The 15,591-nt window shown below is 39.5% G+C and overlaps 1 protein-coding gene across 16 annotated transcripts in view, besides 1 other annotated feature; it reads right to left on the reverse strand.

Moving 5' to 3' along the window:
• SPATA6L (spermatogenesis associated 6 like) overlaps window positions 1-15,591 on the reverse strand; it is a 77,660-nt gene that overhangs the window by 57,869 nt on the left and 4,200 nt on the right. For 7 of the 16 annotated variants that reach the window (NR_148444.2, NR_148445.2, NM_001353484.2 and 4 more), the window contains 2 exons: window positions 15,210-15,347; window positions 9,352-9,400 (listed from right to left, as the gene is read on the reverse strand). Coding sequence is in view for 7 of the 16 variants with exons in the window: in NM_001353484.2 (NP_001340413.1) it covers window positions 9,352-9,400; window positions 15,210-15,347 (187 nt within the window). In the remaining 9 variants the exon portion in view is untranslated. Of the gene's footprint in view, window positions 1-9,351; window positions 9,401-15,209; window positions 15,348-15,474; window positions 15,535-15,591 lie in introns of those variants that run through there. The other 9 variants (NR_148448.1, NM_001353488.1, NM_001353490.1 and 6 more) reach the window with 4 other exon arrangements.
• Window positions 648-820: a silencer, noted in NCBI's record as "fragment chr9:4647337-4647509 (GRCh37/hg19 assembly coordinates)". NCBI's record gives its function as "represses an EF-1alpha promoter that drives an FKBP-Casp9 reporter gene in an ReSE screen in HepG2 liver carcinoma cells {active_cell/tissue: HepG2}" and the evidence as "EXISTENCE:reporter gene assay evidence [ECO:0000049][PMID:32094911]".

The following is a 15,591-nucleotide window of genomic DNA, read 5'->3' on the forward strand; positions in this document are numbered from 1 at the left end:
ATTAACCAATCAAGAGAGTGGAATGAGAATAACAGAATTATAAAAAATAGCATTTCACTAGCCATAAAAAAGAACAAGCGTTCATGTCTTTTGAAGGATCTGGAGGCCATTATCAAACTAATGCAGAAAGAGAAAACCAAATGCAGCCTGTTCTCACTTAAAAATGGGAGTTAAATGATGAGAACTCATGGACACACAGAGGGGACCAATACACACTGGGGCCTACTTGAGGGTGAAGGGTGGGAGAAGAGAGAGGATCAGAAAAAATAACTATTGGATACTAGACTTAATACCTGGGTGACAATCTGTACAACAAATCCCCATGATACGGGTTCACCTATATAACAAACCTGCACATATACCCCTAAACCTAAAAGTTAAAAAAAAAAGCATTTCACCTCCTGAAAAGTATTGAAAAAAAAAGATGCAATATTTGTCTCCTAAAAGTGTATACAATAAATAAATAAGTGTATACATACATAGAGCTCTAAAATAACAATGCAATTTTCATCTTAAATATTCAAAATCCACTTGTTATCCATTAACATACAAAAGTTTATCTTGCTTACAACATTGTGCAATATGACTATACAAATTATACATAAAATATAACTTTTCAAGGCCAGGCACAGTGGCTCGTGCCTGTAATCCCAGCACTTTGGGAGGCCGAGGTGAGCGGATCACCTGACGTCAGGAGTTCGAGACCAGCCTGGCCAACATAGTGAAACCCCGTGTCTACTAAAAATACAAAAATTAGCCAGGCATGGTGGCAGATGCCTGTAATCCCAGCTACTCGGGAGGCTGAGGCAGCAGAATTGCTTGAACCTGGGAGGTGAAGGCTGCAGTGAGCCAAGATTGTGTACTGCACTCCAGCCTTGGCAATGGAGTGAGACTCCATCTTAAAACAAAACAAACAAACAAAAAATATATATATATAAAACTTTTTAAACTTTTCTTGAGTTCAAAATATATTTAGAAATGGCAAACCTATGTAGAATGACAAGAATAAAATTAAAATAAGGACAAGAATAAAATTCAGATCTTTAAGATAACTTAAATGATATATTAGGTTGGTGCAATTATAACAATTAAAAAATCAATAAAGATAATTCTCACAAAATAACATAACAAGTGAAAACATTTTAGTTTTTTTTTTTTTTTTTGAACCAGGGCCTCACTCTGTCACCCAGGGTGGAGGGCAGTGGTGCGATCTTGGGTCACTGCAACCTCTACCTTGCAGGTTCAAGCGATTCTCCTGCCTCAGCCTCTCGAGTAGCTGGGACTACAGGCACGTACCACAGCGCCCAGCTACTTTTTGTATTTTTAGTTGAGATGGAGTTTCGCCATGTTGGCCAGGCTGGTCTCAAACTCTTGACCTCAGGTGATTTGCCCACCTCAGCCTCCCAAAGTGTTGGGATTACAGATATAAGCCACTGTGCCCAGCCATGAAAACATGTTAAACAGACAACAAAAGTAAAATTCTAACTTTGTAGATTTACGAAAAAAATTTGAATTCATAGGACAAAACTTTAATGCCAAGAAACTTAAAAACCAAGACAGACTGAAACTTTAGGCTTTCAAAATGAGAGGAGGGAATATATATTTGCCAACCATCACCCCAATAGTAATTTAAGCACTTAGTTTGATTCAGCCTCTAAATTCTTTTTTTAAAATTTTTTTATTTCCACAGGTTATTGGGGAATAGATGGTGTTTGATTATAAGTTCTTGGCTGGGCACCGTGGCTCACGCCTGTAATCCCAGCACTTTGGGAGGCCGAGGCGGGCGGATCACAAGGTCAGGAGATCGAGACCATCCTGGTCTAACTCGGTGAAACCCCGTCTCTACTAAAAATACAAAAAATTAGCCGGGCGTGGTGGCGGGAGCCTGTGGTCCCAGCTACGCGGGAGGCTGAGGCAGGAGAATGGCGTGAACCCGGGAGGCAGAGCTTGCAGTGAGCCGAGATTGCGCCACTGCACTCCAGCCTGGGCGACAGAGCGAGACCCCGTCTCGAAAAATAAATAAATTAAATAAATAAATACATAAGTTCTTTAGTGGTGATCTGTGAGATTTTGGTGCACCCATCACCCGAGCAGTACACACTGCACCCTATTTGTAGTCTTTTATCCCTCACTCCCTTCCCACCCTTTCCCCCTGAGTCCCCAAAGTCCATTATGTCATTCTTCTGTTTTTGCATCCTCATAGCTTAGCTCCCACTTATGAGTGAGAATATACGATGTTTGATTTTCCATTCCTGAGTTACTTCGCTTAGAATAATAGTCTCCAATTTCATCCAGGTCATTGCTAATGCCATTAATTCATTCCTTTTAATGGTTGAGTAGTATTCCATCATATATAATGGAATATAGAAATATACACACACACACACACACACACACACACACACATATCACAGTTTCTATATCCACTCGTTGATTGATGGGCATTTGGATTGGTTCCACATTTTTGCAATTGCAAATTGTGCTGCATAAACATGCGTGTGTAAGTATTTTTTTCATAAAATGACCTCTTTTCCTCTGGGTAGACAGATACCCTAGCAGTGGGATTGCTGGATCAAATGATAGTTCTACTTTTAGTTCTTTAAGGAATCTCTACACTATTTTCCACAGTGGTTGTACTAGTTTACATTCCCATCGGCAGTGTAGAAGTATTACCTGTTCACTGCATCTATGCCAACATCTACTATTTTTTGATTTTTTGATTATGGTCAGGCTCTAAATTCTATATAGTCAATTAATTCTCATCATAACTCTATGAGTCCAATGCAATGGCTATCCTCATTTTTATGAATGAAGAAACTAAATCTCAAAGAGGAAACTATAGTAATGTGGACAAGGTCACACTGGCTAACAGTGACAGGGCTGTATTTGAACCCAAGTAGTCAGTTCTCAGGGACTGTCCTCTTATCCGCAAGATACTTCACTGAAAAATCCTATTCTTCCACAGAGCGAGTTAATTAGGATGCTTGATAAAATAACTACACCTTTTAATTGCCTTCTGGAATGGCATCACGTAATTCATACTTGCTTTAAATATCAAGGACAAAGGAAATCATTAATGAGTGACCTAGAGAATGGTTGTTATGTCCTTTTATGCTTCATTACACCTCCCAGGGTTAATATTGGGAAATGAAATGAAAATATCCCAATTCTTGCAGGATCATTTGAAATGCTGAATTTTTTTTCTGAATTTAAAGAGGCTTGAGAGAATCAGTGTTCTTACAGATGTGACCCATCTCAGAGAGATGTTTCACCTTCCTGCTTTTTAAGATTCAGGTAGAAATATAAATGCAGGAAATCAACTTGGGTATTGAATCTACTTTTTAAAAGGTCAAATGCCAAAGCCATCATTTTTTATACCCAATTGCCTTGTTGGCTTCATGAGACACATACTTGCTCAGTGACTACCCTAACCTATGCTACCTCTGTAGGTACTTACTCACTCTTTGCCTAATGTCAAACTCTTCAATCTACCTGGTATGCCAGCCTGAGACCTAGCCTGCTCCCATTCTGACTTCTACCCAGTATGGCCTCAGCTCACTTGGTACTTGTGTCTGGTCCTTTCTCTATATTCTGCTATTATCTGTGACCTTGGTCCTAATTCTTTCAACTGAGTAACATCTCAGTTGCAAATTTCATAAAGCTTAAAAATGTAAATAAAAGTCATACCATCCACACACTTTTCACCCTTAAGACACTGGGAACACAAAAGGGCAAACTAAACCTAAAGCAAACAGAGGAAAGAAAATAATAAAGATTAAGCAGAAAGTAATGAAATAGAAAACAGAAAAGCAACACAGAAAATCAATACATCTAAAAGTTGGTTGTTTAAAATGATCAATAAAACTGACAAACCTTTAGCTACACTAACCAAGAAAAAAGAGAAAAGACTCAAATTACTAAAATCAGAAATGAAAGAAGAGACATTACCACTGATTTTACAGAAATAATTTTTTGTTTGTTTGTTTTTGAGACGGAGTCTTGCTCTGTCGCCCAGGCTAGAGTGCAGTGGCACAATCTCAGTTCACTGCCACCTCTGCCACCCAGGCTCAAGCAATTCTTCCACTTCACCCTCCCAAGTAGCTAGGATTACAGGCAAGCACCACCAAACCCAGCTTGTGTGTGTGTGTGTGTGTGTGTGTGTGTGTGTGTGTGTGTGTGTGTGTGTATTTTTGATAGAGACACGGTTTCACCATATTGGCCAGGCTGGTCTTGAACTCCTGAGCTCAAGTGATCTGCTCGCCTTGGCCTCCCAAAATGCTGGGATTACAGGCATGAGCCACCGTGCCCGGCGTAGAAATAATTTTTTTTTTAAGACAGAGTCCTGCTCTGTCACCCAAGCTGGGGTAGAGTGGTACGATCACAGCTCACTGCAGCCTCAACCTCCCTGACTCAAGCAATCCTTTCACCTCAGCCTCCTGAGAAGCAAATACCACAGGCACATGCCACCACACCCCACTAATTGTTGTTGTTGTTGTTGTATGGATGGGGGCTCCCATAAAAATATTTTTAAGGGAATACTATGAACAACTTTATGCCAATGAATTAGATAAATGAAATGGAAAAACTCCTAAAAAGACACAAACTAATAACACTGACTCAAGAAGAAACAGAAAATCTGAAGAGACTTATAATGTGTAGAGAGATTAAATTAGTAATCAAAAAACAACCCAAAGACAAGCCCAGGTCCAGATGGCTTCACTGGTAAATACTACCTTAAGAATTAACACCAATTATTCACAACCTCTTCCAAAAACAGAGAAGAGGACAGAACATACCCCAACAGATTCCATGAAGTTAGCATTACCAAAACCAGATGAAGACATAACAAGAAAACAAAACTACAGACCAATATCTCTTATGATTGTAAATCCCAAAATCCTCAACATAATACTAGCAAACCAAATCCAGCAACATATAGAAAGGCTTATATACCATAAGGTTGGTTTAATATCTAAAAATCACATATCAATGAAATAAAGGATAAAAAAATCACATGATCATCTCAATAGATGTAGAAAAGGCGTGTGATAAAATTCAACATTACTTCATGATAAAAACTCAGTAAACTAGGAATAAAGAGGAACTTCCTCAACCTGATATAGAGCACTTATAAAAAACCATATTTTAATATTACAACTAATGGTGAAAAACTGAATGCTTTTTCCCTACTATCAGGAAATAGATAAGGATGCTCACTTTCACGGCTTCTATTCAATACTGTACTGGAGATTCTAGCCAGGGAAATTAGACATGAAAATGAAATAAAATGCGCACAAACTATAAAAGAAGAAGTAAAGCTGTTTCTACTTGCAGATGACATAATTTTGCATATAGAAAATCCTAAGGAATCAGCAAAAAACTACTAAAACTAATAAACAAGTTCAGTATGTTTTCAGGATAAAATATCAGTATATAAAAATCAATTGTGGGCCAGGCGCGGTGGCTAACGCCTGTAATCCCAGCACTTTCGGAGGCCAAGGCAGGAGGATCACCTGAGGCCGGGAGTTCAAGATCAGCCTGACAAACATGGAGAAACCCCGTCTCTACTAAAAATACAAAAAATTAGCCGGGTGTGGTGGTGCATGCCTGTAATGCCAGCTACTAGGGAGGCTGAGGCAGGAGAATTGCTTGAATGAGGGAGGCAGAGATCTAGGCAACAAGAATGAAACTCTGTCTCAAACAAAAACAAAAACAAAAACAAAATCAATTGGATCTCTATAAACTTGAACAAACCTGAGAATGAAATTTTTAAAAATTCCACTTACAACAGCTTCAGAGTACTTAGGAATAAATTTAACCAAAAAATGCAACACTTGTAAACTGAAAATTACAAAACATCATTGAAAATAAATTTAAAGGCTGGGTACGGTGTCTCATACCTGTAATCCCAGCATTTTGGGAGTCCAAGGCGGGTGGATCACCTGAGTTCGAGACCAGTCTGACCAACATGCAGAAACCCCGTTTCTACTAAAAATACAAAATTAGCCAGGCGTGGTGGTGCATGCCTGTAATCCCAGCTACTTGGAAGGCTGAGGCAGCAGAATCACTTGAACCTGGGAGGCAGAGGGTGCAGTGAGCAGAGATCGCACGATTGCACTCCAGCCTAGGCAACAAGAGTGAAATTCCGTCCCAAAAAAAAAAAAAAAAAAGGAAAAAGAAATGTAAAATAACCTAAATGAATGGAAACACATCCCACATTCATGTTTCAAAAATATTGTTAAGGTGACAATACTCCCCAAATTGATCTACAGTCAATGGAATCCCTGTCAATATCCTAGCTGGCTTCTTTGCAGACATTGACAAGATGATTGAAAAATTCTTATGGAAACTCAAGTGAACCAAAATAGTAGTCTTGAAAAAGAAAAACTAAGCTGGAAGATTTACACTTCCTGGTTTTGAAATTTATTACAAAGCTACGGTAACAGGATTGTGTGTTGGCATAACAATAGACATATGAATCAATAGAATAGAACTGAGACCCTAAAAGTAAACCCTCACATTACTGTAAGCTGAATTTCAACAAGGGTACCAAGACAATTCAATGAGGGAAAGAATGGTCTTTTATCAAATGGTGCTAAAACAAATGGATATCCATATGCAAAAGAATGAAGTTGGTCCCCAACATCACACTGTCTACAAAAATCAACACAGTATAAATCATCTAGATGTAAGAGCCAAAACTATAAAACCATTAGAAGAAAACATAGATGTAAGTCTTCATGACCTTGAGTTAGGCAATGGTTTCTTAGATATGACACCAAAAGCACAAGCAACAAAGGAAAAATAGATAAACTGAAATTCATCAAAATTAAAAACTTTTGCATTTCAAAAAAATACCATCAAGAAAGTGAAAGACAATTCTAGAATGGGAGAAAATATTTGCAAATCATCTATCTAACAAAGGTCTTGTATCTAGGATATATAAAGAACATTTACAGGCCAGGCACAGCGGCTCATGTCTGTAACCCCAACACTTTGGGAAGCCCAGGAGAGAGGATCACTTAAGACCAGGAGTTCAAGACCAGCTGGGCAACATAGTGGCATCCTGTCTCTACAAAACAAAAACAAAAACAAAAAATAGCTAGGCATGGTGCTGTGCGCCTATAGTCCCAGCTACTTCAGAGGCTGAGGTGGGAAGATCACTTGAGCCCAGAAAGTTGAGGCTTCAGTAAGCTATGATCGTGCCACTGCACTCCAGGCTAGGTGACAGAGCGAGACCCTGTCTCAAAATAAACCAAAAAATAAAGACAAATGACCCCATTAAAAAGTAGGCAAAGGATCTGAATAGACATTTCCCCCAAAGAAAATACACAAATGGCCAAATATCTCATGAAAATGTGTTCAATATCATTAGCCATCAGGGAAATGCAAATCAAAACAATGACGAGATACCACTTCACACCCACAAAGATGACTACCAATCAAAATGACAGACAATAACAAGTGTCGGCCAGGATGTGGGAAAATGGAACCCTCATACATTGCTGGTGGGATGTAAAATGATTCAGCTGCTTTGGTAAATAATGTGAAACTTCTTTAAAAGGTTAAACATACAGTTACCACATTGAAATGGGAAAAGCTCCTTTGTCCCCCTCTCAGGACGTGCGATGGGGGTGTGGCTCGCTTCTTCAGTGCTCCGCTGCTCAAACCTCTAGAGGAGCAGACAGACGGGGGCAGGCTGTGGGGTTCCGACCCCATAGCACTATCTAGGGGTGAATGTTTACAGCTTGTGAAGCCCCAGTGGGTGTGTTTTACAGTTTGCCGTCTATAGGTGGCTTGTGTTAGCTCAATTAGACCCTCTACCATGTCGCAAGGACAGAGGGCTTTCTGTACCCCCGGGTTTCTTGCCTTGGTGTACTGGAAGAATAGGATCACACATGGGCTTGGAGAATGAGTGTGAGGTTTTATTGAGTGGGGGTAGCTTTCAGCAGATGGGGGAGCCAGCAGGGAGATGGTTTTCCCCTGGAGTTGGGCCACTCGGCAGCCCCGGCTCTCTTCCAACTGCCCCGGCCAAACTCCGTGTCGTTCTGCCAGTGCCAATGTACTCCTCTCGATGTCCAGCCGCTTCTGTCTCTGCCTTGCTAGGGTCTCCGTCTGTTACAGGCACAGGATGGGGGCATGGTGGGCCAGGATGGTCTTGGGAAATGCAACATTTGGGCGGGAAAGCAGGAGTGCCTGTCCTCACCTAGGTCTGTGGGGATGGAGCCCTAGCCAGGGACCACACCCTTCCTGTACCGAGCACTTCCCTTCCCTGGTCCATATCATTTAAAGGTACCACTCTCTTCTCTTCCCAGCACTCCTGTATCAATATGACCCAGCAATTTCACTCCTAGGTATACCCAAGAGGCATTAAAACATATGTTCACACAAAAACTTATACACAAATATTCACAGCATCATTATTCATCATAGCCTAAAAGTGGAAACAACCCAAATGTCCATCAATTGATGACTAGAAAAACAAAATGTGATATATTCATCCAACAGAATACTATTTGGCCATACAAAAAATTAAGTTCTGGCACATGCTATAATATGGATGAATCTTGAAAACATTACACTAAGAATTCAATCACAAAGGAGCACATGTTGTATAATCTCATTCATATGAAATATCCAGAATAAGCAAATCTATACAGACGGAAAGATTAGTGGTTACCTATAGCTAGGAGGGCTGGTGGGGAATAGGGAGTGATTGCTAATGGGCATAGGGCCGCTTTTTGTGGTGATAAAAATATTCTAATTTAATGAAACACATAAAAACAATTTTTATAAATAAACAACCAAACAGAATCATACTATCCATCAAAGCCCATCTATATTTAGTTTTTTTGTTTTTTTGTTGTTTTTTTTTTTGAGATGGAGTCTTGCTCTGCCACCCAGTCTGGAGTGCAATGGCACGATTTCGGCTCACTGTAACCTCCGCCTCCCAGGTTTAAGCGATTCTCCTGCCTCAGCCTCCCAGGTAGCTGGGACTACAGGCATGTGCCACCACATCCGGCTAATTTTGTTGTATTTTTAGTAGAGATGGGGTTTCACCATGCTGACCAGGCTGGTCTCAAACTCCTGACCTCAAGGGATTCACCCGCCTCGGCCTCCCAAAGTGCTGGGATTACAGATGTGAGCCACCGTGCCCAGCCAAGCCCATCTATATATAGAAAAGGGTATGTAACAGAATCAAAAATGTGATTCAAATTTTACGTAGGCTGTCTTGAAATAAATATTCATCAAACATGAACATATCACAGTTTAGAAAAGAGCAGAGTTTTGAATCTGTGAATTACACACAATAGTCTTTTGGTTTTTTGTTTTGTTTTTCAGAGTACCTACTTTCCAAAAGGTCTACTACAGCTCCAGGATCTACTGCACTTTCAAATACCTGCAGAGAAAAATGGGGAAAATAAATTTTCAAAGTTGTATTAATAAGCGCATATAGAAACTGTAAATGCCAGGTGCAGTAGCTCACACCTGTAATCCTAGCACTTTGGGAGGCCGAGGTGGGTGTATTGCTTAAGCTCAGGAGTTTCAGACCAGCCTGGGCAACATGGTGAAACCCTCTCTCTACAAAAAATACAAAAGTTAGCTGGGCATGGTGGCTCATGCCTGTATTCCCAGCTACTTGTGGGGCTGAGGCTGGAGGGTCACTTGAGCACAGGAGACAGAGGTTGCAGGGAGCCGAGATGGCATCACCACATTCCAGCATGGGAGAAAGAGTGAGACCCTGTGAAAGAAAGGAAGGAAGGAAGGAAGGAAGGAAGGAAGGAAGGAAGGAAGGAAGGAAGGAAGGAAGGAAGGGAGGAGCCGTAAATTATATTCTTCCAAGTAATTAACATATGTAAAATCCAGTCACATAACATTTTAGAATTCAGCAGATGCACCTTTAATAGGTGTCTGATTAAAAGTTCAAAAAGTGATTATAGAATAAATGAAGGATAATTAACACAACAATAAGAAGTGCAAGAAAATTTCAATTAGCTAAATCTACCACATGCTAAAAATATCATCGACTTGACCTAGCTCTACTGTTTGTTGCTAAAAGCCCATCTTAAATCAACCCCAGAGTGTTGTTTGACTACCTAGAAAAACATTCTGTATACAACAGATACTCATTAAATGTTAACTGAATGAATGGTTTCTCTCTCCAAGCAATTGGTTGTGCTAAAAAGGAACATAAAAAGAAATATTACCTATGCGTAACACAAAACAAAAGCTAAGTACTAGCAACTAGCAGCTACACTCCCATAGAATAAGGAAAGAAAGAGAGAAGAGTCTCAAAAGTTTTAAGTGTATCGTGAAGCACAAGAAAAACATTGTAATATCTGTCTAGCCATTGCCAAATCTTTATATTTTCTTCTTGAAACAAAAGGGCCTGGGATAGGATTGAAATAAAGGTACACCCTGTCTTTCCCCCTAAGCTCTAGGCCCTAAGAAAAACAAAACATTTTCAGCAGAGCTTGATTTCAGGCTTTAAAGTTCTGATTTAAATGGTATTCAAACTTAAACAAAAATGAAAGTGTCTCATATAATCAATTTTTGTCCTACTGACTTGGATTTATCAAGCAAATGTGGGTAAGTGGGGTTTTTTTGCCTAAATTATTTTAACAATCCTTTCATTTTACCCATTGTTATGGGTTGAATTGTGTCCCCCCAAAAATTCATGGAATGAAGTCTTAAACCCAGTATCTCAGAATGTGACCTTAGTTTGCAAATAGGGTCACTGCAGATAAAATTACTTAAATTAGAATAAGATCATACTGGGATAGGGTAGGCCTCTGATAAGACTGGTGTCCTTAGGAAGGGCAAAAATTTGAGCACAGAAACTGTTTTTTAAAAAAAAAAGAAAAAGAAAAGAAAAAAAACTTTAGGCAAAATTAAATTTATTTGAGCAAGGAGCGATTCATAAACTAGGCAGCACTCAGAACTAAAAGAGGTTCAGAGACCTCCGCTGCTGCATTATGGGCAGCAGGCTTTTACAGGTTGACATGAAAATAAGACAAAGAAAATATATTTAATTTGTTGGAGTGGAAAGACCCTAGTTAGAGATCAGCTGGCAGTTTCTGATAGGTAAAGTCTCTAGCTAAAGATTAGTTGGCAGTTTCTTATTGGTAAAATCTCTAGTTAGAGGTTCATTGGTGGCATCTGTTTGGTAAATGACTCTAGTTTTACTGTTTACATTGGGCTTCAGTTTGCTTACCTAGGAATTTAAAGCACTGGAGCCGCCCCAGCCTAATGACTTCCCCCACCCCCAATTTTTTTAACAGTACACACACAGAGTGAATGCCGTGTAAATATTGGAATTACACTGCCACAAGCCAAGGAACTATACCAGAAACTAGGAGAGAGGCCTGGAATAGGTCCTTCCCTAGTGCCTTTAAAAGGAATATGTCCCTGCTCACACTCTGATTTCAAGAATTGTAGCCTCCAGAACAGTGAGATGATATGTTTCTGTTGTTTAAGCCACTCTATTTGTGGTACTTTTGTATAGCAGCTCTAGGAAACTAATATATCCATATCTAAGGATTTTCTCAAGTATGATCTTGGGGAGTAAATAATCAACATGAACTGCTTAAACAATGACTTATATATTCTTATGAGTAACTTGTTGACCCAAATGCTTCAGAAAATTCCATTTTGAATTACACAGAAGATCCGAGGAAAAGAAAATTTTTTCACTACCTGCTGAAAGTAGTTGCAGCTAGAGAAGGAAACAGATACAAGGAAGCTAAAACCAACAGGAAGAAAGGAATATGAACCCAAACAACTCATGCAAGAGGACAATTAATTGACTGAATTTTATAAAATGAAAAAGTGGTTCCATGATTTGTTTGACTAGTAATCTCAAATGTACAGCTTTTCAACAGAGCCATAGTGGCATCTGAAATGTGACTCAGGCTCACTCTTCTCTTTGACAAATCAAGGAGGTTGGAGTTATCTAGTTGTGTGCTTCTACAGTTTTGTATCTTTGGGCTTCTTATAAAAATATTTTTAAAGACTTTTACAGGCCAGATGCAGTGGCTCATGCTGTAATCCCAGCACTTTGGAAGGCCAAGGCGGGCAGATCATTTGAGGCCAGGAGTTTGAGACCAGCCTGGCCAACATGGTGAAACCCTGTCTCTACTAAAACTACAAAAATTAGCCTGGTGTGGTGGCAGATCCCTGAACCTGGGAGGCAGAGGGTGCAGTGCCCCAAGGTCTTGCCACTGCACTCCAGCCTAGGTGACAGAGCAACACTCTGTCTCCAAAAAAAAAAAAAAAAAAGGCTTCTACAGAGCAAATTCAAAATTGATATAACTAATAAGAAAATTATTGGGATGGGGGAAAGACTGCACTTTTACCACCAACTTTTTACCATTTCTAACATCTAACTGGGAGAACTAAGTTCCTTTAGATTCTGAGTATATGTTCCAAGGTAATAGCCATTTATTTCTCTCCTCACTTATCCAGCCAGTTTGGTACATTCTTCATTTAAATTAATAGGTTGTGATTTATAAAAATGTTACATACAACCTTAGCCCTTCAGAAAATTGATCTTCATCTCCACTGTCAACCTCAGGTTGAAACAGATAGGTCACTTTCTGGGCATCACTTTCCAGACCTTTAAAAGTGACATGCTCAAGTCTCAGGATACAAAATCAATGTGCAAAAATCACAAGCATTCCTATACACCAATAACAGACAAACAGAGAGCGAAATCATGAGTGAACTCCTATTCACAATTGCTTCAAAGAGAATAAAATATCTAGGAATACAACTTACAAGGGATGTGAAGGACCTCTTCAAGGAGAACTACAAACCACTGATCAACAAAATAAAAAAGAGGACACAAACAAACGGAAGAAGATTCCATGCTCATGGATAGGAATAATCAATATCGTGAAAATGGCCATACTGCCCAGGGTAATTTATAGACTCAATGCCATCCCCATCAAGCTACCAATGACTTTCTTCACAGAATTGGAAAAAACTACTTTAAAGTTCATATGGAACCAAAAAAGAGCCCGCATTGCCAAGACAATCCTAAGCCAAAAGAACAAGGCTGGAAGCATCACGCTACCTGACTTCAAACTATACTACAAGGCTACAGTAACCAAAACAGCACAGTACTGGTACCAAAACAGAGATACAGACCAATGGAACAGAACAGAGGCCCTCAGAAATAATACCACACATCCACAACCATCTGATATTTGACAAACCTGACAAAAACAAGAAATGGGGAAAGGATTCCCTATTTAATAAATGGTGCTGGGAAAACTGGCTAACCATATGTAGAAAGCTGAAACTGGATCCTTTCCTTACACCTTATACAAAAATTAATTCAAGATGGATTAAAGACTTAAATGTTAGACCTAAAACCATAAAAACCCTAGAAGAAAACCTAAGCAATACCATTCAGGACATATGCATGGGCAAGGACTTCATGACTAAAACACCAAAAGCAATGGCAACAAAAGCCAAAATTGACAAATGGGATCTAATTAAACTAAAGAGCTTCTGCACAGCAAAAGAAACTACCATTAGAGTGAACAGGCAACCTACAGAAAGGGAGGAAATTTTTGCAATCTACTCATCTGACAAAAGGGTTAATATCCAGAATCTACAAAGAACTTAAACAAATTTACAAGAAAAAATCAAAAAACCCCATCAAAAAGTGGGTGAAGGACATGAACAGACACTTCTCAAAAGAAGACATTTACACAGCCAACAGACACATGAAAAAATACTCATCATCACTGGTCATCAGAGAAATACAAATCAAAACCACAATGAGATACCATCTCACACAGTTAGAATGGCGATCATTAAAAAGTCAGGAAACAACAGGTGCTGGAGAGAATGTGGAGAAACAGGAACACCTTTACACTGTTGGTGGGACAGTAAACTAGTTCAACCCATGTGGAAGACAGTGTGGTGATTCCTCAAGGATCTAGAACTAGAAATACCATTTGACCCAGCCATCCCATTACTGGGTATATACCCAAAGGATTATAAATCATGCTACTATAAAGACACATGCACACGTATGTTTATTGCAGCACTATTCACAATAGCAAAGACTTGGAACCAACCCAAATGTCCATCAGTGATAGACTGGATTAAGAAAATGTGGCACATATACACCGTGGAATACTATGCAGCCATAAAAAAGGATGAGTTCGTGTCCTTTGTAGGGACATGGATGAAGCTGGAAACCATCATTCTCAGCAAACTATCACAAGGACAGAAAACCAAACACCGCATGTTCTCACTGATAGGTGGGAATTGAACAATGACAACACTTGGACACAGGGTGGGGAACATCACACACAGGGGCCTGTCGTGGGGTGGGGGGAATGAGTTAATGGGTGCAGCACACCAACATGGCACATGTATACATATATAACAAACCAGCACGTTGTGCATATGTACCCTAGAACTTAAAGTATAATTTTTTTAAAAAAATGTGACATGCTCTACTCTGTAGCCTTCCTTCTCCCCAGATCTCCCTCAATGACATTGTTTGGGGCAAAATCATTAGACTTATTAAGGTTAAAATTGATTCCATCTCCAAATTCCAAAACAAAAATGTTAAGAGATTGTCAGTGATGACATAGTAATAACATCAATATTCTATGAATAGTTTAGTGTGAAGAAGGCTGGTAATGTTTTGACTATTTATATCACCATGTTATTCACCAGAATGGAATCTAGCCTTTATCACTGTAGCTAAATAATCTAGGTATGATCTGAGGAAACAGTAAATCTGAACAGCCTTTTTGTTACAGGATTTTAGTTACAGGATTTAACTAATTTCATTATTTTTTTTTCGCTATTTTTCTTGGTCTAACACAGTTTTTTCTAAGGTCCACAGTTTATTAATAATCCCTTTCGTAAATGTAATGCAATTACCTCTAACACCTCCAAAAACATTCAGAAATGCTCTCTTTGCTCCAGTTAAAAAAATGCCATGGGAGTTCCAAGAATAGGAAACATCAACCAGGGTATTTAGCACTAGATTGACAGAACTTGGCTCAGACCTGCATTACAAAAGCAAGTGTTCCGACTGCGGTTTTGCATTGTGCTGAAGTGCTTTCGGATAATTTTTTTAAAAATGAAATTTACCAAATAATGCTGTAAGAACTCTGTTCTTTATAAGAACTCTCAGGTTATCTTCAGACAACAAAAGCCAATGAGAAAGTCAAGATCACCTTTTCAAATCTCATGCTCTCCTGAATCATAATGGGGAACGCAGAGGGAAAGCTGTTGGTCTCCAGGTACTGATTCATGAGGTAGACCCCGAGGTACACATCTTGTTTGCCAGGCAGGAACACTCCTGGGCAAGAAATCTTAAAAAGAAAGAAAACAACAAACAAGGGAGAGAAAACAGACTTTGCTTTGTTTTGTTACACGGGGCTCTATTTCTCTTAAGCTCCTACAGACACTGACATTTTCCCCATCACCTCACTCCCTCACCTGTACCTCCCAACGCCAACATCCTCCCCTCTGCTCTCCTCACATTGGAAATTCCAACTCCCTCCCACGTCTCCACCAGGTGTCACAATCGCGCTCTCGCCGGCTCCTCTCCCCGCC

Source organism: Homo sapiens, chromosome 9 (genome assembly GCF_000001405.40).
Source record: "Homo sapiens chromosome 9, GRCh38.p14 Primary Assembly".
Taxonomy (NCBI): domain Eukaryota; kingdom Metazoa; phylum Chordata; class Mammalia; order Primates; family Hominidae; genus Homo; species Homo sapiens.